This window comes from Homo sapiens, chromosome 3, assembly GCF_000001405.40.
Source record: "Homo sapiens chromosome 3, GRCh38.p14 Primary Assembly".
Taxonomy (NCBI): Eukaryota; Metazoa; Chordata; class Mammalia; order Primates; family Hominidae; genus Homo; species Homo sapiens.
Genome location: NC_000003.12, coordinates 131,953,490 through 131,979,024, shown reverse-complemented (window position 1 = coordinate 131,979,024; position 25,535 = coordinate 131,953,490). Strand labels below are relative to the sequence as shown.

Below are 25,535 nucleotides of genomic sequence, written 5' to 3'. Positions count from 1 at the left end.
AAATCAACTCCAAAAGGAACTTTCAAAACCATGCAAATACTTGGAAATTAAATAACCTGCTCCTGAATGAGCATTGGATCAAAAACAAAATTAAGATGAAAACTAAAAAATTCTTCAAACTGAACAACAATAATGACAATCTGTCAAAACCTCTGGGATACAGCAAAGGCAGTGCTAAGAGGAAAGTTCATAGCCCTAAAGGCCTACATCAAAAAGAATTAAAGAGCACAGACCGACACTGTAAGGTCATACCTCAAGGGGCTAGAAAAACAGGAACAAACCAAACCCAAACCCAGCAGAAGAAAGAAAATAACCAAGATCAGAGCAGAACTAAATGAAATTGAAACAAAAAAATACAAAAGGTAAATGAAACAAAAAGCTGGTTCTTTAACAAGAGATATAAAATTGATAGACCATTGGCAAGATTAACCAAGAAAAGAGGAGAGTGGATAAAGAAACTGTGGCATATATATATATATATATTTATATATATTTATATTTATATAAATAAATATATATAAATATATAAATATATATAAATATATATAAATATATAAATATATATAAATATATATATAAATATATATAAATATATAAATATATATATACATATATATAAATATATATATAAATATATAAATATATAAATATATATATAAATATATATAAATCTATATAAATATATAAATATATATAAATATATAAATATATATAAATATATATAAATATATAAATATATATAAATATATATAAAATATATATAAATATATATATTTATATAAATATATATAAATATGTAAATTTATTATATATATTATATATAATAATTATAAATATATTATATATATTTACATATTTATATATATTTATATATTTTATATATATTTATATAAATATATATATTTATATATATTTTATATATATTTATATATATATTTATATATATTTATATATATTTATATATATTTATATATATCTATGATGGAATACTATGCAGCCATAAAAAAGGAATGAATTAATAGCATTTGCAGTGACCTGGATGAGATTAAAGGCTATTATTCTAAGTGAAATAACTCAGGAATGGAAAACCAAACATCGTATGTTCTCACTGATATGTGGGAGCAAAGCTATGAGGATGCAAAGGCATAAGAATGACACAGTGGACTTTGGGGACCTAGGAGGAAGAGTGGGAGGGGGATGAGGGATAAAAGACTACAAATATGGTGCAGTGTATACTGCTTGGGTGATGGGTGCACCAAAATCTCACAAATCACTAAAGAACTTACTCATGTAGCCAAATATCACCTGTACCCCTGTAACTTATGAAAAAATATTTTTAATAAAAATCTTTAATGATGTAGGAAAATTTTTAAAAAAAGAACCGCATAGAGGAGATGCTTGAAACTGAATACCATAGCAGTGGTTTCTATTGTATGTGTTTGTGTTTGGGTGTATATGTATGTGCGTGTGTGTGTGTTTGCATGGTATGGGAGGTGGCTAGATAGTTTCTTTTTTGGGTGATTGTCAAATGTAAATTCACTGAATTTTAAGCATAGGATGCAACTTCAGTTGTAGGCTCTAATTGAGGTATGAGTGTCTCTTATCCTGTGCTACTTTTCACAACCCTGAAAGGAGAAGGTGCTGTCATAGCTAATTATTACTGTATCTTGTTTATTACTGTGACAACAAAATGGTGTCTTGCTTGGACTAATCATCAACTATGTGGTAACTTGGTCCACTTTGAAACAATTTAAGTGCAACTTTGGAGCCCTCTCACTGTGTCTCCTTTACCCTTTAGCTCCAAGATGCTTGAATATTGTTGCTCAGAAGAATTAGTTAATATTTGATTTTCATCTTTACAAAGACTCTTAGGAAAAAGAATGAGGAAGTTTTACTTAAAGTGGGTTTATTAAGAATGATAATGTGGCTGGGCTCAGTGGCTCATGCCTGTAATCCCAGCACTTTGGGAGGCTGAGGCGGGCAGATCACGAGGTCAGGAGTTCGAGACCAGCCTGACCAACATGATGAAATCCCATCTCTACTAAAAATACAAAAATTAGCCGGACATGGTGGTGTGTGCCTGTAATCCCAGCTACTCAGGAGGCTGAGGCAGGAGAATCGCTTGAACCCTGGAGGCAGAGATTGCAATGAGCCAAGATTGTGCCACTCCACTCCAGCCTGGGTGACACGGTGAGACTCTGTCTCAAAAAAAGAAAAAAAAAAAAGAATGATAATGTTGTTCCTTTATCACTTATTAATTTTTTTTAGTGTTTGGTGTTTTTAGTGTTAACTGTTTATCCCTTTCAGATATGTAAAAGCCAACTGCCAAATACTTTCCAGTCGTTATACAATCAGGTCATTTCCTTTGGCTTTAACTCAGAAGTAATTTCCTTGATCTTTTTTTATGATTTCTCCCCCTGAGCTTCCCTTAATTGCTTTTCCTCTTGTGTGTTGATGCTAGATGTAATATTCTGACATACACCCCAGGAGAAGGCTTGTTTTCTCTTTCCTTCTATTCTCCTCCTCTTCTACTTTTTAAAATCTTCACTCTCTTTAAAATAATAAAAACCAAAGTCTTTTTCTTTTAGAGCATCTCAGACCCAAATTGCCACATAGTGGTCTTATAAAGGGAAAAGAGCTTTGGTGAACTTTATCAAAGTTTTTGTTGCTGTTGTGTTTTCATTTGTTTGTTTGTTTTTATATGAAGCAAACTTATTTTTTAATTGGAAAAATAAGCCATGGTCTAAGTATTAAAAAAAAAATTAAACCCTACAAAAGTAAGTCTCACTCCTAGCCCAGGCTTCTGACCCTAGCCTTCTTTCCCATATACAATCATTAATACCACTGTGACCCTTCTAGAAACACTTTAAGGTAGAATGTTTTACAGGAGGTTGAGGGAGGGAGAAAAGAATGAGAGTGCATTCTTTAAAAAAAAAAAAAAAACCAACAATATTGACAGATTATTAAGTTTTAAAAAAAGTCCTATAGTTTTTTTTTAAATATCAGCATCCATAAGTCTACTTTAATCTTTGTCACAACTGCATAGTATGGATATGTTATCTATTTTACCGCACCGTATCAGAGGACATTTAAATTATTTAATTTATTGTTTATTATGTTTGTTTATTTCACTGTTACAAGCCATGATGTGATGGTCATCCTTATTTGCATGTCATTTCCTCATAACCTGATATATTTGTTGGATAAGTTCTGCGTACACTAGGCATACATATCTATGCATGCATATATATGTTTATGATTCGAATACACAAACAGAAGTGCTAAGAACTTCAGCCTATACTCTGATTTCCCTACCTTACAAAGTCCCTTAGGATAGCAACTGGTACAAAATTACCTGATTCTTTTCAGGGTCACCTTTCATTTCCCTCCATAGGTGTAAATGTCACGGTGTTTATTTCTGCAGTGTAGGCATTCAGGGCCTGCAGAAGCAGTGTGGGTAGATTTCCCTGGATATGAGGTGAACTATGCTGAAGAAGTTAGAGCCAGCTGCACTCAGGGCTTGTCATAGTTTTAGAATGTTTTCATAGAAGCCTAGGCTGATAGCAATGGGAGAAGCCTCGGGTAAATGAATCCAATCCTCCCCATTCCCAAAGTAGAAGGACTAGGCAGCTAGGAGAAGTCATTCTCATGCCCAGGTAACTCACTCAAGTTGCCAACCGGGGTTTTTCTATCACACCATGAAAACCTGTGCTTCTGTCCTATATTGCCTGGAGGCTGACTTTCTTATCGCTTCCTGTTTCTCCTCATGACTTTGACTGGGTTCTCTTAACTTGCAGGCTTAGTGTTGAAAGGGACATTTAAAAGCCCCAGAACCTAGTTAAAATTTGACAGGCGGTTCTCTCTTGCAGGATAGGTTTTGCCAACTCCCCTGAGGCTGCAATCTCAATTTGATGACGGTTTTAAAGCCATTGTTAAAAATGAATAATACGAATTTTGAAAAAAATTTGATGGTTCTCTGTCTTTATTTCTCTTTACTTATTTATTTATTTGATTTTTGAGACAGGGTCTGGCTCTGTCACCCAGCCTGGAGTGCAGGGGTGCAATCTCCGCTCATGGGAACCTCCACCTCCCAGGCTCAAGCCATCCTCCCCCCTCAGCCTCCCGAGCAGCTGGGACTACAGGTGTGCACCACCACGCCGGGCTAATTTTTGTACTGTTTGTAGAGACAGGGTTTTGCCATGTTGCCCAGGCTGGTCTCGAACTCCTGAGCTCAAGCAATCCACCTGCCTTAGCCTCCCAAAGTGCTAGGATTACATACGTGAGCCACTGGGCCCAGCCCATCTCTTTTTCTTTAATCCCTTTTGAACAGTCTGAGGTGGCAAGAGAAACAATGGGCAGATAGGCTTGGCCCTGTTCACAGAGTATGGGAGGCAGGGAGGAGCAAGCAGAGACTTTTCTGTGAATGGTAACCTTAATGAATCAGATCACATTTGAGTTGGCCCTTTTCTCATTACAGGCAGAGAAGGTAGATGCTGCTTGGTATCTTTTCTCAGCTGAATTTACTTCCAGACAAGCAGGTCATCTGTTAGAGTCATTTAAGCTGAGTGTGCTATGACAAGGAGAGTTGGGAAGTCAGTACATATGTGCATGCATGTATTAGGTGTGTGTATGTGCACATTGTATGTATATACATGTGCATTCACTGTAGATGCGTATATACATACATGCACATGTGTGTATAGATGCAGGCATATGCACATAACACATATGTACACATATATGTGCACAAGACATTTTACAATTACCATTGTGAAGGAAAATAGAAATTAAGGACTTTCATTAACCTCTTCCAGGGAGAGAAAAAAGAAACTAATGTATTAAGACCTGAGAACAGAAAGTTCTGACAAAAGCAAGAGTGTTTCCCTTTTTAGAATGAAAAGTCTCTGGTAGGACAGATTCTGTCCAAATACCTCCTTTCTACCACAAACAGGATTTTAATGACAGCCCTTCCCTTGTAAATTTACATGGAGGTATCTCTATTGACTCTCGTTGCCATGGTGATTCAAAGAAACTGGTCTGGGACTGCAGTTTGGGATAACATTTTTCAAATAGGGTAAGGAGCCCAGGAATGCAGACTTTGTGGCTTGACAATCTGCTCTATTCTTAGGGTAAAAAATAACGTTACGCTTGGCAAACCAATTATGTTTTTGACAAGATAAATGCTTTTGACGTTATTCCTATTCTTCCTGGGTAATAGTTAAGTAGATAAACAAATTAAATTGACCTTAGAGATAAAAATTCATGCCCATTCTTCCACTGCTATAACTGTTCAAAACATTCTTTCCAGATTTCTTTGGAATGGATACATTTTGATGTGGGAGAAGTCATTCAGTATACTGAGTTGAAAACATTAATACTGGTATCAAATTGCCTGGGTTTGAATACCAGCTCTGCCACCAGCTCTGCTGGGAGACCTTGAAAAAATTACTTAAACTTTTTGATTCTCAGCTTCCTTGTTTGCCAATGGAGATGATAATAGTATCTATCATTAAAAGCTGTGCTGAAGAATAAGTTAATCAATATATGTAAGGCACTTAGAATCATGCCTGATCCATATCAGAGGCTATAGAAATATCAGATATCATCATCATCACATATTTCTATTATTATTATTACTACATTGATTCTTCTTGGGAAAAAATTGACATTTTTTTTGCACCCTACATAGATGGACTCTGGGGAGAAGAAACAGTCCATAGAACAGAGGCTTGGTAGAACTTTGAAATGACAGGAATTCTTTCAAGATCACCTAAAAATCTTTTTGAACACAGCTGAAAATCTCCAGCCTTTCTTTTCTTCCTTTAAACTCAGGTTTCATTATCTTTTAAGATGGCTATGATACCACAGATCCGTTGTACAAAATGACTTTTTTCCAGGTCACCACACACACTGTGAGTTTATGCTAAATCCCACTCTGCTGTTACAACCAGTTGGGATTTTTAGGGCCAAAAAGGTGAGTTAAGGGGTGTATGTACATTGATGAAATAAAAGGTGAGACTTAAGCTAGTTGTAGACCTTTGTATGCTCCAATTCTTTTAAAAAAATATATGAGAAAGCTGGGACTTCAGAGAAAGATTAGGAGTAAAACCGATTGTATTAGTGCTTTGTTGCCACGCTTTGAGACTTGTGATTTCAGAATGGCAGATCTGAGATAAGTTCACTGGGAACATCTGGTCCAGCCTTCCCATTTATGGAGGAGGAAGTAGAATCCTAGAAACATGAGTAGCTTGCCTGAGGTCAGCTAGGGAGGGAAGAACAAATGCAGGATGAGAGCCTAGATCACTTCTGGCCCAGTTCAGAGCTACCTTAAAAATAGAGCCATTTAGAGCTCTGTACCATATGGCCTTCTCCCTTTGTGTCTTCAACTAGGTCCTGTTGTGAGCTGTAGGAATGGGTTTTTTAGCCCCTTGACACTGTTGAATGATTCTTCTCGGATGTGAGGGGCACCGTTTGTTCCATGAGAGCAGCAGCTTCCTTGGGGGCCCGATGTTTTTCTTTTGAAATTCCAACAGGAAAGACCAGAATTCCATGTTCCCAATAATGCCATCTGTTTATTTGAAAGGGGACAAAAGATCACTGGGGATTGGCATTTGTTCTAGCTCTCTGCACTTTACCTCATACAAAGAAACTCTGCTTGTAAGTGCTATGATGAGGCTCCAAGTTGGCTAGCTGAACTTGAGGAATTCATCGGGCAGAGAACTATAGACTTTCAGTCATACAGAAGTATGTACTTGTTGCTGCCAGTGAGACCTTTGTGCGCCAAGGGAGTGTTGATGTGTAACCCTTAGTATTTTCATTGGCTTCAGCGTCTCTGAAAGAACAGCATTTACTGTCTTCTGAGAAGATAGGTATTTCTTTTTGTTGATTTTTCTTTTTTTTTCCCTCTCTCTCTAAAGGATAGAAGATAAGAAGTTTTATAATCCTAATCCTGACACTCAGTTGCCATGAACATTTTCTTCTCTTAAATGTATGTCCTTTGCCATTCTCTCATTTACCCACTCATCCAACAGTTCTTTCTGTAAACATTCATTAAACACCTACCAAGTGCCAGACACTGAGCTAAATGCAAGAGAAACAAAGGCAAATCATATGTAAGTCTGAAGGAACAAGGGGAGAGGGAAATTGTTGGGACTAGAGAAAATAGCTGTCATTCTAGAGGGGCATGCCTGCCTGGGGCTGTGGCCTTAGCTCAGCTACAGGAATGGGATCAACTACAGTGACTTGGAAGCTGAAGGGCAATGGTCTTGCTCACTCTCCTGTTGGTCTTTGCTTCCCTGCCAGTGTCCCCCATTGACTGCCCCCAGATGGAAACCTAAGGGCAAGGTACCCTTAGAGACCAGACTTCCAGGGAATATAGCAAAGGTAGAGAGTGCAACTGAAGGGCCAAGAAAAATATTGAGCACAGTAAAGTTTTGTAAATGAGTTCAGATAACCCTCTGGGGCAAAAAGGAAGGCATTTAAACTTGTAAAGGAATTACTTTTTGCTTGTTAAATGTTAACGTAGTGACTGGAGTTTTTGGACCTAATGATATCTTAGGGAATCAGAGAAGCGTTGAAGAGATTGTGGTTCTATGGTATAAAAAAGATAGTTCCAAATGTTTGCTGGTACTCTCATTGAGACATGGAATTACCGTTCCTTCTGTGAGAGCTGGATGCCTTTTACTGGTCTTCTTTGACTGGTGAAATTCAGTAGAAGTGATGTTCTAGGACTTACAAGTCTAGGTCATAAGAAGTCTTGCATATTATGTGTTAGAACATTCTCTCTGGGAACTTTAACCTTTGACCCACCCTGTAAGAAATCTAACTACCCTGAAACTACCGTGTCAGCACTCCAGTTAACAGACCCAGCTGAGCTCTGCCTTCTAGATGTTGTCCCCACGGCGTCAGACATGTGACTGTAACCATCTTGGACTCTTTAGATCTTTCTAGCTGCCAGATGAACACCGCTGAGTGACCTCATCTATGCCATATGGAACAGAAGAATCATCTAGCAGATGATCTAGTGATCTGAGAATTGATCCTTCTCAAATTCCTGGCCTACAAAAATTATGAGATAAAATTAAATGGTTTTTGTTTTAACCCACTACGTTTTGGGGCAGTTTGTTAGGCAGCAACAGATAATTGGGAAATGCTGCTACCCTCTCAGATTGATGATCCGTTCATTCTATATCTACATTAATAATGGGAAGTAACAACAATCCTCCACTAACCCCTACACATACATATATTCACAATACAACTTTAACCTTCCATTTCTATGATAAGTGATCTAGCTAGATCATGAAATCTAATGTGAAGCTGTTTAACTCTGGAGGTATTTTGATATATGGAAGTGGAAAAAGTGATAAAAAGCAGTAGCTCTAGAGGACCTAGAAAGTGCAGCATAAGGAAAGATTATAAACCCCATCCCCTTAAATTGCCTTTAAATAAAAGTTTAATTTAAAAAAACTATATAAATTATATGCTTCTTGCCCAAATGCCCCATCAAGGAAACAAACTCATTCATGTCAGAACAAACTTTGGGATTAGACCAATTTCTAAGAAAAAAATGCAAGAGGGAAATGTGCAGCTAATGAGACTTAATGGGGAAAAAGAGCTAATATTTATTAAGCACTGTATTGGTCAGCATACACTGGATTATATCACTGTAACAAATAAGCTCCAAATCTCAGTGACTTGTACAAGAAAAGCTCATGTCTTGCTTTGGCTACAGGTCAAAGTTAGGTTGGTATCTGTGTGGGGGTTGGTGTGTCTTCACTCACTGAAGTTATGCAGAGACACAGATAAGTGAAGCTTCATCTCAACATGTGATTCCACTATCTCTAGAGCATTAGAAAAGGGAAATGGCAGCTCATATACTGATTCTCAAAGTGAAACAGATGACTCGTATTTCCATTTCACTGGCCAAAGCAAGTCATATGGCTCTATACCCAAATTTCAGAGGGCAGGGAAGTTTGACTGGAAGAGGACAGAGCTGGAAATCCTTCGTAAACAGCACCAATTATGAACACAAGCATCTGTTATGGAGCAGACACTTTGCTAGGCATGTCTCATTCAATTCTGACAAAATCCATTATATAGGTAGAAGACAGGCCTACAGAGGTCAAGCACCTTGTCTGTGGTTACACAGCTGGTAATTGAGGAGGAGAGCCTGGAACTGAGGTCCTTAGGTCTGATTTCAAAGTGCATGCTTTTGTTTTGTTTTGTTTTATTTGACATGATGCTCACCAAGCATATACATGTCATTTAGGAACTAGAGAGGACAGTGAAGAGAATTTAATAATTTTATTTGTATTTTGGAGTCACTTTAATCTATAAAGCACCCTGCTGCCCCTTAGACCTGTGCTCTGAAGTGCACCAAGATGGTTGGTAAGTTACCGAGTCTCCACTGTGTTGAGAGCACTGTTCTTAGTCAGTGAGAAGAAAGAAAAAAAATCAGAAAACAGCCTCAAGTGTCCTTGAGAGTTTATTATATGCTAAAAATTAAGAGACAAATATCCTTTACAAAAGGCTTACATATACTTAAAGAGCCTACTTACAGATTAATACATATGCATCTCTTAAGCTTGAACAAGGTGTTTTATTAGATTGGTGCAAAAGTAATTGTAGTTTTTGCCATTACTTTTTTTTTTAATATTTTAAGTTCTGGGATACATGTGCAGAACATGCAGGTTTGTTACATAGGTATACATGTGCCATGGTGGTTTGCTGCACCCATCAACCCGTCAGCTAGGTTTTAAGACCCGCATGCATTAGGTATTTGCCCTAATGCTCTCCCTCCCCTTGCCCCCAACTCCCTGACAGGCCCTGGTGTGTGATGTTCCCCTTCCTGTGTCCATGTGTTCTCATTGTTCAACTCCCACTTATGAGTGAGAACATGCAGTGTTTGGTTTCCTGTTCCTGTGTTAGTTTGCTGAGAATTGTGGTTTCAAGCTTCATCCATGTCCCTGCAAAGGATATGAACTCATACTTTTTTATGGCATCATAGTATTCCATGGTGTATATGTGCCACATTTTCTTTATCCAGTCTATCATCGATGGGCATTTGGGTTGGCTCCAAGTATTTGCTATTGTGAATAGTGCTGCAATAAACATATGTGTGCATGTTCTTTATAGTGGAATGATTTATAATCCTTTGGGTATATACCCAGTAATTGGATTGCTGGGTGAAATGCTATTTCTGGTTCTAGATCCTGGAGGAATTGCCACACTGTCTTCCACAATGGTTGAACTAATTTACACTCCCACCAACAGTGTAAAAAAGTGTTCCTATTTCTCCACATCCTCTCCAGCAGCTGTTGTTTCCTGACTTTTTAATGATTGCCATTCTAACTGGCATGAGATGGTATGTCATTGTGGTTTTGATTTGCATTGCTCTAATGACCAGTGATGATGAGCTTTTTTTCAAATGTTTGTTGGTCGCATAAATGTCTTCTTTTAAAGAAGTGTCTGTTCATATCCTTTGCCCACTTTCGATGGGATTGTTTCTTTCTTGTAAATTTGTTTAAGTTCCTCATAGATTCTGGATATTAGACCTTTGTCAGATGGAGAGATTGCAAACATTTTCTCCCATTCTGTAGGTTGCATGTTCACTGTGATGACAGTTTCTTTTGCTGTGCAGAAGCTCTTTAGTTTAGTTAGATCCCATTTGTCAATTTTGGCCTTTGTTGTAATTGCTTTTGGTGTTTTAGTCATGAAGTCTTTGCCCATGCCTATGTCTTGAATGGTAGTGCCTAGGATATCTTCTAGGGTTTTTATGGTTTTAGGTTTTATATTTAAGTCATTAATCCATTATGAGTTAATTTTTGTATAAGGTGTAAGGAAGGGGTCCAGTTTCAGTTTTCTGAATATCACTAGCCAGTTTTCCCAATACCATTTATTAAATAGGGAATCATTTGCCCATTGCTTGTTTTTGTCAGGTTTGTCAAAGATCAGATGGTTGTAGATGTGTGGTGTTATTTCTGAGGCCGCTGTTCTGTTCCGTTGGTCTATATATGTGTTTTGGTACCATTACCATGCTGTTTTGGTTACTGTATGCTTGTAGTGTAGTTTGAAGTGAGGTAGCATGATGCCTCCAGCTTTGTTCTTTTTGCTTTGGATTGTCTTGGCTATACAAGCTCTTTTTTGGTTCCACATGAAATTTTAAAGTAGTTTTTTTCTACTTATGTGAAGAAAGTCAAGGTAGCTTGATGGAAACAGCATTGAATCTATAAATTACTTTGGGCAATATGGCCATTTTCACGATATTGATTTTTCCGGTCTATGAGCATGGAATATTTTTTCTATTTGTTTGTGTCTTCTCTTATTTCCTTGAGCAGTGGTTCCTTCAAGGAGCCTCTTGTAAATTGTATTCCTAGGTATTTTATTTTATTTGTAGCAATTGTGAATGGGAGTTCACTCATGATTTGTCTCTGTGTTTGTCTATTATTGGTGTATAGGAATGCTTGTGATTTTTGCTCACTGATTTTGTATCCTGAGACTTTGCTGAAGTTGCTTATCACCTTTAGGAGTTTTGGAGCTGAGATGATGGGGTTTTCTAAATACACAATCATGTCATCTGCAAACAGCAACAATTTGACTTCCTTTCTTCCTATTTAAATACCCTTTATTTCTTTCTCTTGCCTGATTGCCCTGGCCAGAACTTCCAACACTATGTTGAAAAGGAGTGGTGAGAGAGGGCATCCTTGTCTTGTGCCAGTTTTCAAGGGAATGCTTCCAGTTTTTGCCCATTCAGTATGATATTGGCTGTGGGCTTGTCATAAATAGCTCTTATTATTTTTAGATATGTTCCATCAATACCTAGTTTATTGAGTGTTTTTAGCATGAAAGTGTGTTGAATTTTATTGAAGGCCTTTTCTGCATCTATTGAGATAATCATGTGGTTTTTGTCATTGGTTCTATTTATGTGATGGATTATGTTTATTGATTTGTGTATGTTGAACCAGCCTTGCATCCCAGGGATGAAGCTGACTTGATCGTGGTGGATAAGCTTTTTGATGTGCTGCTGGATTCAGCTTGCTAGCATTTTATTGAGGATTTTTGCATTGTTGTTCATCAGGGATATTGGCCTGAAATTTTCTTTGTTGTGTCTCTGCCAGATTTTGGTATCAGGATGATGCTGGCCTCATAAAATGAGTTAGGGAGGTGTCCTTTCTCTATTGTTTGGAATAGCTTCAGAAGGAAAGGTACCAGCTCTGCTTTGAACCTCTGGTAGAGTCCAGCTGTGAATCTGTCTGGTCTTGGGCTTTTTTTGTTTGTTTGTTTGGTAGTCTATTAATTACTGCCTCAATTTCAGAACTCATTATTGGTCTATTCTGGGATTCGACTTCTTCCTGGTTTAGTCTTGGGATGGTGTATGTGTCCAGGAATTTATCTGTTTCTTCTAGATTTTCTAGTTTATCTGTGTAGAGTTGTTTATAGTATTCTCTGATGATAGTTTGTATTTCTGTGGGATCAGTGGTGATATCCCCTTTATCATTTTTTATTGTGTCTATTTGATTCTTTTCTCTTTTCTTCTTTATTAGTCTGGCTAGTGGTCTACCTATTTTGTTAATCTTTTCAAAAAACCAGCTCCTGGATTCATTGATTTTTTGAAGGGATTTTTGTGTCTCTATCTCCTTCAGTTCTGCTCTGTCTTGGTTATTTCTTGTCTTCTGCTAGCTTTTGAATTTGTTTGCTCTTGCTTCTCTAGTTCTTTTAATTATGATGTTAGGGTGTTGACTTTAGATCTCTCCTACTTTCTGATGTGGGCATTTAGTGCTATAAATTTTCCTCTAAACACTGCTTTAGCTGTGCCCCAGAGATTCTGGTACATTGTATCTTTGTTCTCACTGGTTTCAAATAACTTATTTATTTCTGCCTTAATTTTGTTATTTACTCAGTAGTCATTCAGGAGTAGGTTGTTCAGTTTCCATGTAGTTGTGTGGTTTTGAGTGAGTTTCTTAATCCTGAGTTCTAATTTGTTTGCACTGTGGTCTGAGAGACTGTTTGTTATGATTTCCATTATTTTGCATTTGCTGAGGAGTGTTTTACTTCGAATTATGTGGTCAATTTTAGAATAAGTGTGATGTGGTGCTGAGAATGTATATTCTGTTGATTTGGAGTGGAGAGTTCTGTAGATGTCTATTAGGTCTGCTTGGTCCAGAGCTGAGTTCAAATCCCGAATATCCTTGTTAATTTTCTGTCTCATTTATCTGTCTAATAGTGACAGTGGGGTGTTAAAGTCTCCCACTACTATTTTGTGGGAGTCTAAGTCTCTTTATAGATCTCTAAGAACTTGCTTTATGAATCTGGGTGCCCCTGTATTGGGTGCATATATATTTAGGATAGTTAGCTCTTCTTGTTGCATTGATCCCTTTACCATTATGTAATGCCCTTCTTTGTCTTTTTTGATCTTTGTTGGTTTAAAGTCTGTTTTATCAGAGACTAGCATTGCAAATCCTGATGTTTTTTGTTTTCCATTTGCTTAGTAAATATTCCTCCATCCTTTTATTTTGAGCCTATGTGTGTCTTTGCATGTGAGATGGGTCTCCTGAATACAGCACACCAGTGGGTCTTGATTCTTTATCCAATTTTCCACTCTGTGTCTTTTAATTGGGGCATTTAGCCCATTTACATTTAAGGTTAATATTGTTATGTGTGAATTTGATCTTGTCATCATGATACTAGCTGGTTATTTTGCACATTAGTTGATGCAGTTTCTTCATAGTGTTGTTGGTCTTTATATTTTGGAATGCTTTTGCAGTGGCTGGTACTGTTTTTTCTTTTCCATATTTAGTGCTTCCTTCAGGAGCTCTTGTAAGGCAGGCCTGGTGGTGACAAAATCCTTCAGCATTTCCTTGTCTGTAAAGGATTTTATTTCTCCTTTGTGTATGAAGCTTAGTTTGGCTAGATATGAAATTCTGGGTTGAAAATTCTTTTCTTTAAGAATGTTGAATATTGGCCCCCACTCTCTTCCAGCTTGTAGGGTTTCTGCAGAGAGATCCACTGTTAGTCTGATGGGCTTCCCTTTATAGGTAACCTTACCTTTCTCTCTGGCTGCCCTTAACATTTTTTCCTTCATTTCAACCTTGGAGAATCTGATGATTATGTGCCTTGGGGTTGCTCTTCTCAAGGAGTATCTTAGTGAGGTTCTTTGTATTTCCTGAATTTGAATGTTGGCCTGTCTTGCTAGGTTGGGGATGTTCTCCTAGACAATATCCTGAAGTATATTTTCCGACTTGGTTCCATTCTCCTCATCACTTTCAGATACACCAATCAATTGTAGGTTTGGTTTTTTCACATAGTCCCATATTTCTTGGAGGCTTTTCTTGTTCCTTTTCATTCTTTTTTCCCTAATCTTGTCTTTACCCTTTATGCCATTGAGTTGATCTTCAATCTCTGATATCCTTTCTTCTGCTTGATTGATTCAGCTATTGATGCTCGTGTATGCTTCACAAAGTTCTCATGCTGTGTTTTTCAGCTCCATCAGGTCATTTATGTTCTTCTCTAAACTGGTTATTCTAGTTAGCAGTTCCTGTAACCTTTTATCAAGGTTCTTAGCTTCCTTGGATTGGGTTAGAATATGCTCCTTTAGCTCAGAGGAGTTTGTTATTACCTGCCTTCTGAAGCCTACTTCTGTCAATTTGTCAAACTTATTCTCCATCCAGTTTTGTGCCCTTGCTGGAGAGGAGTTGCGATCATTTGGAGGAGATAAGGCATTCTGGTTTTTGGAATTTTCAGCATTTTTGGACCAGTTTTTCCTCATCTTTGTGGATTTATCTACCTTTGATCTTTGATGCTGATGGCCTTTGGATGGGGTTTTTGAGTGGGTGTCCTTTTTGTTGATGTTGATATTATTGCTTTCTGTTTGTTAGTTTTTCTTCTAACAGGCCCCTCTGCTGCAGGTCTGCTGAAGTTTGCTGGAGGCCCACTCCAGACCCTGTTTGCCTGGGTATCACCAGTGGAGGCTGCAGAGCAGCAAAGATTGCTGCCTGCTCCTTCCCTGGAAGCTTTGTCCTAGAGGGGCACCCACCAGATGCCAGCCAGAGCTCTTCTGTATGAGGTGCCTGTCAACCCCTGCTAGGAGATATCTCCTAGTAAGGAGGCACGGGTGTCAGGGACCCACTTAAGGAGGCAGTCTGTCCCTTAGCAGAGCTTTGCTGTGAGATTCTCTGCTCTCTTCAGAGCCAGCAGGCAGGAATATTTAAGTCTGCCGTAGTGCCAACAGCTGCTCCTTCCCCCAGCTGCTCTGTCCCAGGGAGATGGGAGTTTTATCTATAAGCCCGTGACTGGAGCTGCTGCCTTTCTTTCAGAGATGCCCTGCCCAGTGAAGAGGAATCTAGAGAGGCAGCCTGGCCACAGCCGCTTCGCTGCCCTGCGGTGAGTTTTGCCGAACTTCCCGGCAGCTTGCTTAACACTGTGAGTGGAAAACCACCTACTCAAGCCTCAGTAATGGTGGATGCCCCTCCCCCTACCAAGCTCAAGCATCCCAGGTCGACTTCAGACTGCTTTGCTGGCAGTGAGAATTTCAAGCCAGTGGTTCTCAGTTTTCTGGGATCTGTGGGACTGGGACCCACTGAGTGAGACCACTTGGCTCCCTGGCTTCAGCTCCCTTTCCAAGGGAGTGAACGGTTCTGTCTCGCTGGGGTTGCAGGTGCCACTGGGGTATGAAAAAAAAAAACTGCAGCTAGCTCAGTGTCTGCCCAAACAGCTGCCTAGTTTTGTGCTTGAAACCCAGGGCCCTGGTGGTGTAGGCAAGTGAGGGAATCCCCTGGTCTGTGGGTTGTAAAAACCATGGGGGAAGCATAGTATCTGGGACAGATAGGACAGTCCCTCATGGCTTCCCTTTGGCTGAGGGAGGGGGGCTCCCCCAGCTCCTTGCACTTCCCGGGTGAGGCAACGCCCTACCCTGCTTCTGCTTGCCCTACATGGGCTGCACCCACTGTCTAACCAGTCCCAATCAGATGAACCGGGTACCTCTGTTGGAAATGCGGATATCACCTGCCTTCTGCATTGGTCTCACTGGGAGCTGCAGACCGGAACTGTTCCTATTTGACCATCTTGCCAGGAGTCCAAAAGCTTTGCCATTACTTTTAATGAGAGAGGATTCTTTTTATATAGCAAATAACAAAATGTTGGAACTTGTTCAGGTATAAATATTTATTATTCTAAGCAGGGTGTAGGGCAATATAGAACAACATTTTTTTTTTGAATCAGGGACTTTTTAAGAATCTGCTGAAAGCCATTTTCTCTCTCAGGAAAACGTATTTACTCACTGGATTTTTTTTTTAACTGTTTCTGGGGTTCCACAGATGCATTTCTCCACTGGAAGTCCATCTATTTGTTTAGGATTTCATGGTTTAGATAAATATTCAATTATAAATGTTTAAGTTCTTATAACAGTACTTGCCACATATTAAGTGCTCAATAAATGTTGTTGAATGAATGGAAAGGGGAGGAAGGAACATTCAAGATATAGTTCTAGTCTTCTCTAATCCTGTAAGGAGTCCAGTCTATGCTCTTTGTGTATGGCTGTGACTCAGAAGGATGGTCTTTGTTTTGTTCTGGAGTGTCTGAGCACATTTTTGTTGTGGTGGTGGTGCATTGCATGTGAACTGGGCCTTGAGAGAAGTTCAAATACTGAGTGAAAATAAAGTAATGGTCTGATTATAACTGTCAGATCGGGTGGTTAGACTGGTTCCTGAAACATAACCAATTCCAAGGCAAAAGAAAAGACATCTCTTCATCTACCCTTGACTTAGCACCTGCTGAATAGTAGGCACTTGTTAGGCATCGAGGAAATAGATATTAGCTGTAATGGAAGCATGGACAACTTGCTATGGGATCATAGAAAAAGGCAGGGCCTCGAGGAGCAAATAGGAGTTTGTCAGGTTAGAAGGGGAGTCTACTCAAAGGGGAACAGCAAAGGTCTGGGCAATTGAATATGCATGGAATTCTGAGCATTTCAAACAATCTAGTACTTTTTTAGGCACTCAAAAATGTTGGCTAGGTGAATGCATGAATGACCATTAAATGAGATGATCTAGATATGGCCAGATGGGATAGAGATAACGTTGAGAAACGTTTGGAAGTAGAATGGGTATGACTTGGTGATATGTATGCAGTAGCAGATCTGGATCTGAGTAGGGAAAAGGGAGAAGGGAGAGAGATAAACAGAAAATTGTTTTTTGATATTTGGTATGTGTGACTCTTGGTGATGTCACCTATGTTGTCTCTACCCTTTCACCTGCTAGTCTGTCTTTAAGGTCATTTTTTGAGGATTGTAATGTGGGACCATGAGCCCCCTTCAATCCTGTATGTTCTATCTTTAGTCCTCTAGGTGTGGATCTTAAGAGTCAGGAATAGACAACAGAGCAGGGATAGGAGAGTACTTTCAGAGAAACAGAACATGCTTGTTTGTAAGGGGGTAATATATTGGATGAATATTTCAGTGGCTGTTTCTTTTCAACCATACATCCTGACTGACCATTCGGGTCACAGAAAATGCTGTATCTTAGCACAGTCACCCTGTGTGTGGCTCAATTCCTATCCCTGGGATTTATGATGATGCTTATTTGTTGAACATTGCTTTTGATGAGCTCCAGGTGTTAGCACAGCAACACTGGGAGGGAACCAGAGTTACTGCTCTTTAACCAGTGATAAAACAGGCTCAGGGTGATTCCTTACCTGCCTAGGGTCATAGAGGTGCTACTGAAACTCAATCCCTTAGGATATAAGATTTAAATTCTAATACAGCACTTAAGGAAACATTTAAGGAAATGATTTCTTAAGGAAAAAAACTCATTCTATGAGGGAGTTACTCTAAATAAAATTGTTTTCTGTTTCTTCTTCTTTTTAACTTTCTCTACAAAAGTATGTTCACGTGGAGAAAAATGCCCTGGATGAAGAACCAGGTGATCAGGATTTTAGTCTTGGTTCTGCCCCTAATTACCTCTGTGGTCTTAGAGAAACCTTTGAACATTTCTATACCTCTTTTTCTTGTGACATCTCTCTGAGTTTGTACCATTGTTATAGGACCAAGCTTGTATGCCTGCTGCATAGTAACAGACCAATTACACTGAGACAGCAGGGTTTACAGTGGAGAAAAAGTTTAATGATTGCAGATCACCAAGTGAGAAAATGGGAGAAGACCCTCAAATCTATCTCCTTGAGGAGTTCTGGACTGGGGTTTTAAGGGGATTATGGAGGGTAAAGGGCTGAAAAATTGGGGTTTTTCATTGGTCAGGGTAAGTGGGATGAAATAATCAGGATGTGGAAACTGCATTAACTGAGAATCCAGCTCTTTGGGGAGTCCTTCAGACCAGCTGGCATCAGTGAGGTTCTTCAGACCAGCTAAGTCAGTAGTTTCATCAGCATGCAGGACCTGAGGGAATATCTCAAAGGGAAAAGCTTAACATTTTATAATGTTCAAGTTCTTATCTATAGAACAGTTAAGGGGAACTATAATCTTGTAACAGGCTCTATATGATTATTGGACAATAGGCAAACAACTATGGGGAAGCAGGTCAGAGAGCAAGCTGACCTCATGACTAATGCTGAATGCGTTGCAAGCTTGCTTTCAGTTCTCCCTCTCCCTTCTTCTCTGATTAACTTTATAAAGTTTATAGGGACAGTTTTACCATCTATCTCTAAAGTTTTGGTTAGCTGTAATAGCCTATATTCTTTTTTCTTCTGATGTAAGTTATGGTAATGAGACATCTTTCAAACTGTTTGAAATTAACTGTGGATTGAAAAGTAAATCAAACATATCATAAAAATAAACATTGTCAGAAGATATTACCAGCATTTTTCAAGCAGTAACGGTTTCTGAAGTAATATGATTATAAATCCCTTTTATGCCAGTCAGCCTGAATATCTCCCTCCCTCTCCTCCCTCCCTCTCCACTCTTTCTCTGCTTTCCTCTCTCCCTCTCTCGCTTATCTCACTCTGTCTCGCTCATGTCCATATGCCTCATACAGTGTATTGTAGGGCTCACAATTATTTTCAAGGCTATTTCCATCATTTTAATGATCTGAATATTTAGAAACACCTAGAAGTATGACATATTACTTAAATTTGCAGTAGCGTTTTAGTATTCAGATGATATTTAAAATAATAGGGCTAGTCATTAAAAAGAAACAAGGTTCTTTCAGGCATTCATATTCATAGCTTAGTATCACTGTAATTCAGGGCATTATATTATGTTTTAATTTAGGTGGCTTTGTGTGAGTGGGCAGCTCAGGGAGTGGGGCGAGTAAGGGGAGCAAAACAGATCACCCTAAATTGCAACTGAGAGTTGGTACAACGTCCCCTTATTTTCCAGAGAGGCATGATTGTGTTTCAGTGTTACGGGCAATTACACAAGTAAGCTAGACTGAGTGGAAGATAAATATATATTTTTTAATTGGATTTTTTGATTTTCCAATTTCCACAATGTGATGGTGTTTTCGACAGAGTTCCTCAGTGGTCCCTGGATAAGAATGTTAAGGAAATTGGTGTCTCAACTTTGGTGCTATCTGTAGCATTCTGTCCAACTCAGGCATATTGGCCTGGGTGAGTGATAATCTTTTCTGAAAGTACAGTGTTTGAACTGTACTCTACACACTTTACTTGTATTTATCTCATTTTATTCATCATAAAACCTTCCAGGATTGGGGAATGCAGGGGTCCTTATTATTAACTCTATATTATATATAGGATAATTGAAACTTAGAAAGGTGTATCGGCCGGGCGCGGTGGCTCACGCCTGTAATCCCAGCACTTTGGGAGGCCGAGGCGGGCGGATCACGAGGTCAGGAGATCGAGACCATCCTGGCTAAAACGGTGAAACCCCGTCTCTACTAAAAATACAAAAAATTAGCCGGGCGTAGTGGCGGGCGCCTGTAGTCCCAGCTACTTGGGAGGCTGAGACAGGAGAATGGCGTGAACCCGGGAGGCGGAGCTTGCAGTGAGCCGAGATCCCGCCACTGCACTCCAGCCTGGGCGACAGAGCGAGACTCCGTCTCAAAAAAAAAAAAAAAAAAAAAAAAAAAAAAAAAAAAAAAAAAAAAAAAGAAAGGTGTATCAGGCCGGGAGCCGTGGCTCACGTTTGTGATTGTAGCACTTTGGGAGGCCAAGTCGGGCGAATCACGAGGTCGGGAGTTCGAGACCGGACTGGCCAACATGGTGAAACCCCATCTCTACTAAAAATACAAAAAATTAGCTGGGCGTGGTGGCGGGCACCCATAATCCCAGTTACTCAAGAGGCTGAGGCAGGGGAATTGCTTGAACCTGAGAGGTGGAGGTTGCCGTGAGCCAAGATCGCCTGACAGGTGGAGGTTGCAGTGAGCCAAGATCGTGCCATTGTGCTCCAGCCTGGGCAACAGTGCAAGACTCTGTCTCAAAAAAAAAAAAAAAAAAAAAAAAAAAAAAAAAGAAAAGAAAGAAAGGTGTATCAATTGCCAAAGGTCACATAGCTGAGATGTAGTAGAGTTTGAATTTGACTCCAGGTCTCTGATTTAAAAGAGTCTGAGATAGTGCAGTGTTTCTCAAACATCAACTGCATCAGAATCGCCTAGGGAGCTTGCTGAAACAGCTTCCTGGGCTCCATAGTCACAGTTTCCAAATCAGCAGGTCTGGGATGGGCACCTGGGAAAAGTGATGCTGCTGCAGCTGGTTTAAGGACCACACTGAGACCATTGGTGTGATGTACAAAAATGAAATTGTTAGAATCAGGCTGCCTGGATTCAAACACTGGCTCCACTAAGGGCAAGAACTGGGAAAAGTCGCTTTATCTCTGAGCTATTTATTGCTCATCTATACCTGCTTCACAGAGTTGCAGTGAGGATTAGATGAGATAAAGCATTTCAAATGCCTAATGGAATGTCTGGAATGTAGAAGTAACTCTGTAAAGTTACCTATTGTCATGTTTCTTATTACATTACACTGCCAGGACTTAGCTAGTCTTTCTCATGCTTTGAGACATATATTCTATTTCAATGTCCCATTATTTGCCTGTCCCACACAGGTTGTTTTCTATCAAACTCTCAGGTATTCTTTAACTCCTTCTTCCACAATTACTGTCTCTAGCTTACATCCTTCTCCCCCCAACCAAAAATTCAGTGTTTAGAAGTTTTCACATCTGCTTGAAAAGAATAAAACTTCCAAACCTCTGGCTTTGCGGTTTTGCCTCAACTTTAATTATCTCCAGCTATTCTGCGTCTCGTTCACTTTCTGGCACAGAAAATGCAGTAGAATTGTTTGACTTGAGAAATTCTCTTTGAGAATAAGCTCCTTGAATACAGAGGCTGTGTGCAACAAATCTTTGCCCTTCTTTGGAGCAAAAATGCCTCCCACAGTTAGCAGGATCTGAACGAATACTTGGTGAGTGAATGGCTAAGTGAGGGAACTGGAAGGCATGAGGTCAGAAGAGCTTTGCCACCCAGTGTGGATTGTTTTGCCATTGTGGAATTTGTTTTCCTCAGTGAAAGGCTCGCATTAGAATTCAGAAATTTTAATTCTATATCTTTTCAGTTACCCTCTGTACACTCCCCTGGTCAAATGGTTTCTTATCCAACAGTTTGATAACAATGCTGATAGCAAAAGGCTCTGTGCATGTTCCTCTTTAGCTCTCTTTATAACAAGCATCTCCTTACTGGGTACCTGGTGCTGAATGGAACACAAACCATGCTAGTGTACACTCTGGAAATTTTCTTTTTCAAAATCCCCTTGGCTCAATTCAAGAAGCTATTATTTTTGTTCCAGGATCAGGCTGATGGGCATGGAGACATTATTATCCTTTGGTAAGGACTGTTATTTTTGCAGTTTGGAGGATGCCCTAGATGTATTCTGACAAGAGTGGGTCTCCAGTGGGATGTGCTATGATAACAGAATAGACGTCAGCAGTTTCTCACTGAGTCCCAGTGTGGGGTTATTTTGCATCCCAATTCATCCTAAGTAGGACACGGCATTGAATTGGGAGAGGTTGCCTCACATGCAAGATGATCTAACACCTCATCCTGAATTAGTGTGGCTATAACACATGTAGAAAACAATGGCAATTTAAAAAGATATTTTATAACATGTTTTGTTCCTGATGACAAAAATGTCAGCAAGTTATGATAAAATGTATACAAATTTAATGAAGAATATAACAAGGCTAAAACTTGGGGATAAATTCTACAAGTCTTTAATTCTCTTTCTCTCTCCATTCTAAAACAAAATTAAGTAATAGAATATACTGCTATGTCTCACTTGCCAACACAAAGTATTTTCTCATAATCTTTATATGTTCTCCAAGATTCAAGGCTACAACTTTCATTGGCTATGAGGAAACCAATGGGATGGATAGGACACACTTTATATATCAATCTCAATTATTTTTGGATATTTATATAGTTTTTCAAATTATTTGCATTATAATAAATGCTGTATTGAACTTTAATTCATACATATACATTTTTCTATACATTTATGATAATTTCAGCTTAAAAACTACACAAAAGTAGAATTTTACTGGATTACAAGTAATGAGTATGCTCTTCTGTTTCATAAATTTCAAGCTACATTTTTAATGTAAATTATTCTAATACTTAAGATTTTATTGACGATGGAGTTATAGAAAACCTCAGTAAACCAACATCCTTTAAAGAAATTGACTTGGTAGTCACAAATATGCCCTTATGAATCCCACATATCTCAAATATAAGAAATACATCAAGCCAATAAAATTTGAATGCAAGTTTCATCAAGCCTCAATGAACTGGTAATTATATGTATTTCAGAGAACACAAAAAGAAAAAAAAGGCATCAACTCTAATTTATAGATAAGTATTACTTTGACACTGAAACCGGATACTGACAGTAAAATAATTCTAATGACTGATCTTATTTAAGACCATAAATGAATAATTCCTAAATAAAATGCTAACATATAAAAAATCTAGTGTTTTAAAAAATACGAGAAGAATTTATTTCAGGAATGAAGAAGTGAAAGATGGATTTGTGTATCAATATCTATCTATCTATCTGTCACCATATTAATATCTAAGAGATTAAAGGAGCAAACATTAACATTGTCCTACTAGGTATAATGGATTTTAGCCTGAGTATCCTAGGCTGCATCTGCTGGAAAGCAGAGCCTGATGCACAGATTATAATGTTGACACTTCGAGGGGTATAAATCCAAGCAGTGATTGAGGAAAATAGGTGATGTGAGGCAAGAAAAGATGTACAGCGATTGTGTTGCTGTGCTGGCCACCACTTCCGTACAAGTTCAGAGACATTCAGTTGCAAAGACATTTAAGCATATTCCCTCTGCTTATGGGAACTTTTCTAAAAGGTTTGTAAGAGGAAACGGCACTGCGGAGGGACAGGAGTGGAAATGTATCTGTCTGGTTCCCTCCTGACTCTTGCTTCCCATTGGTCAAATTTTATTCCACAGAGATCTAATGCTTCTATACATTTGGCAACTTGGTAGCTACTCAAGAAGCCATTTCCCAAGCCCTGTTTTGTGGCATTTCATCTAAGACCAGAAGTGGAGGGGAGATTCAGCAGGTCAGACTACCAACCAAGAGAGAAGGAGGCAGCTGAGGGAATGTAGAAAGCATACAAAAAAAAAAAAAAAAAAAAAAAACCTTACATACAATACCACACAGAAAAAGCATTGCGTGCAACTTAACACTTTTTTGTGAGAAAAAATAAATAAAAAGAAAACCTCTTAACCAACTAAGAAAGAAAGGGAAATTACATAATATGATGAAATACATAGCAGTGAAGGAGGGAATCCAAAAGCTATGACAAATTTTATATTAGTAAGCATTTAGAAATGGTACTGTTAATTTGGGTATGAGACAAGGATGCACATCTCCACTGCTACTAATCTACCTTGTACTGAAAATCCTAGCCCTTCCCACTAAAAGTAAAACAAAACAACAGAAGAAAAAGAAAAAAAAAACACAGAACTTAACCATATGGTTACAGGGAAGATGGAACATGCGATTTCTAGCTGGTGGTTATGTGCTCAGCTGAAATTGGTGTGCGTATCTGTGAAGAAGGAATTCTTTTTTTTTTTTTTTCACATGCATACGTATGTTTATTGCGGCACTGTTCACAATAGCAAAGACTTGGAACCAACCCAAATGTCCATCAATGATAGACTGGATTAAGAAAATGTGGCATATATACACCATGGAACACTATGCAGCCATAAAAAATGATGAGTTCATGTCCTCTGTAGGGACATGGACGAAGCTGGAAACCGTCATTCTGAGCAAACTATCACAAGGACAGAAAACCAAACACCGCATGTTCTCACCCATAGGTGGGAATTAAACAATGAGAACATTTGGACACAGGATGGGGAACATCACACACTGGGCCTGTCATGGGATGGGGGAAGGTGGGAGGGATAGCATTAGGAGATATACCCAATGTAAATGACAAGTTAATGGGTGCACCACACCAACATGGCACATCTATACATATGTAATATACCTGCACGTTGTGCACATGTACCCTAGAACTTAAAGTATAATAATAATAAAAAAAGAGTTCTTCTACCAGTAAAATTATTGTTTTATTATAGGGAATCTGTTTTTTCCTCTCTGGCTGAATTTAAGATAAATTTATATTTATTAGTTTTTGCAATACCCTTACTTTGGGTGTTTGTGTGCATATGTGTATTTATGTGTGTATGTGGTTTAATTCTAAATGGAATCCGGTGATCTCTCTCAACTTGAGCATTCATATGTTCTGTAATTTATAAAAAGATTTCATGTATTATTCCTTCTCTTTTTTTCTAGAACTCAAAGTATACAATGTCATATTTTTCCTTCCATTCTCTATGTATCTTTATTTTTCTAACATATTTTAGAAAATATTTTTACCTGTATATTGGGTAATTTTTTAGCTATATTTTCCTGTGTGCTGTGTCTCTCCTTTTCTACAAATCCTCTGCTACTTATTATCTCTTTTACATTTCTAGTTTTTTGTTAGCTGCTGTCTTTCTTATTTATACATAATAATTGTACATATTTATGGGGTGTATGTGATATTTTGATACATATGTACAATGTATAATGATTGAATCAGGATGTTTAGGATATCAATCACCTCAAAAATGTTTTCCTTTCTTTGTGTTAGGAAACATATTTCAAATCTTTTAGATATTTTGAAATATATGAGAAATGATTGTTAATTATAGTCATTCTACTTTTCTATCAAACGTAAGAACTTATTACTTCTAACTGTATGTTTGTACTCATTAACCAACCTCTCTTCACCCCCATTCATCCTTCCCACCTTTTGATAAGCATCATTCTACTCTCTAACTCCATGTGGTAAACTTTTCAGTCCCCACGTATGAATGAGAACATGTGATATTTGTCATTCTGTGCTTGGCTTATTTCACTTAACATAATGAACTTCACTTCTATCCATGTTTCTGCAAAAGATAATACGCCACCATAATCAAGTGAAATTTACCCCAGGGATGCAAGGATGGTTTAACATATGCAAGTTAATATATATGATATATCCTATCAACATAATGAAGG

The 25,535-nt window shown here is 38.4% G+C and overlaps 1 protein-coding gene across 7 annotated transcripts in view; it reads left to right on the top strand.

Annotated features, from left to right (window-relative positions):
• Positions 1-25,535, top strand: part of CPNE4 (copine 4) — a 506,038-nt gene that overhangs the window by 60,582 nt on the left and 419,921 nt on the right. For 2 of the 7 annotated variants that reach the window (XM_047447422.1, XM_017005694.3), the window contains exon 2: positions 15,315-15,381. The exons of the other annotated variants lie outside the window; for them this stretch is intronic. In XM_047447422.1, coding sequence (XP_047303378.1) covers positions 15,317-15,381 — 65 coding nt within the window. In that variant the 5' untranslated portion in view covers positions 15,315-15,316. The remainder of the gene's footprint in view (positions 1-15,314; positions 15,382-25,535) is intronic. 7 annotated transcript variants of the gene reach the window in all.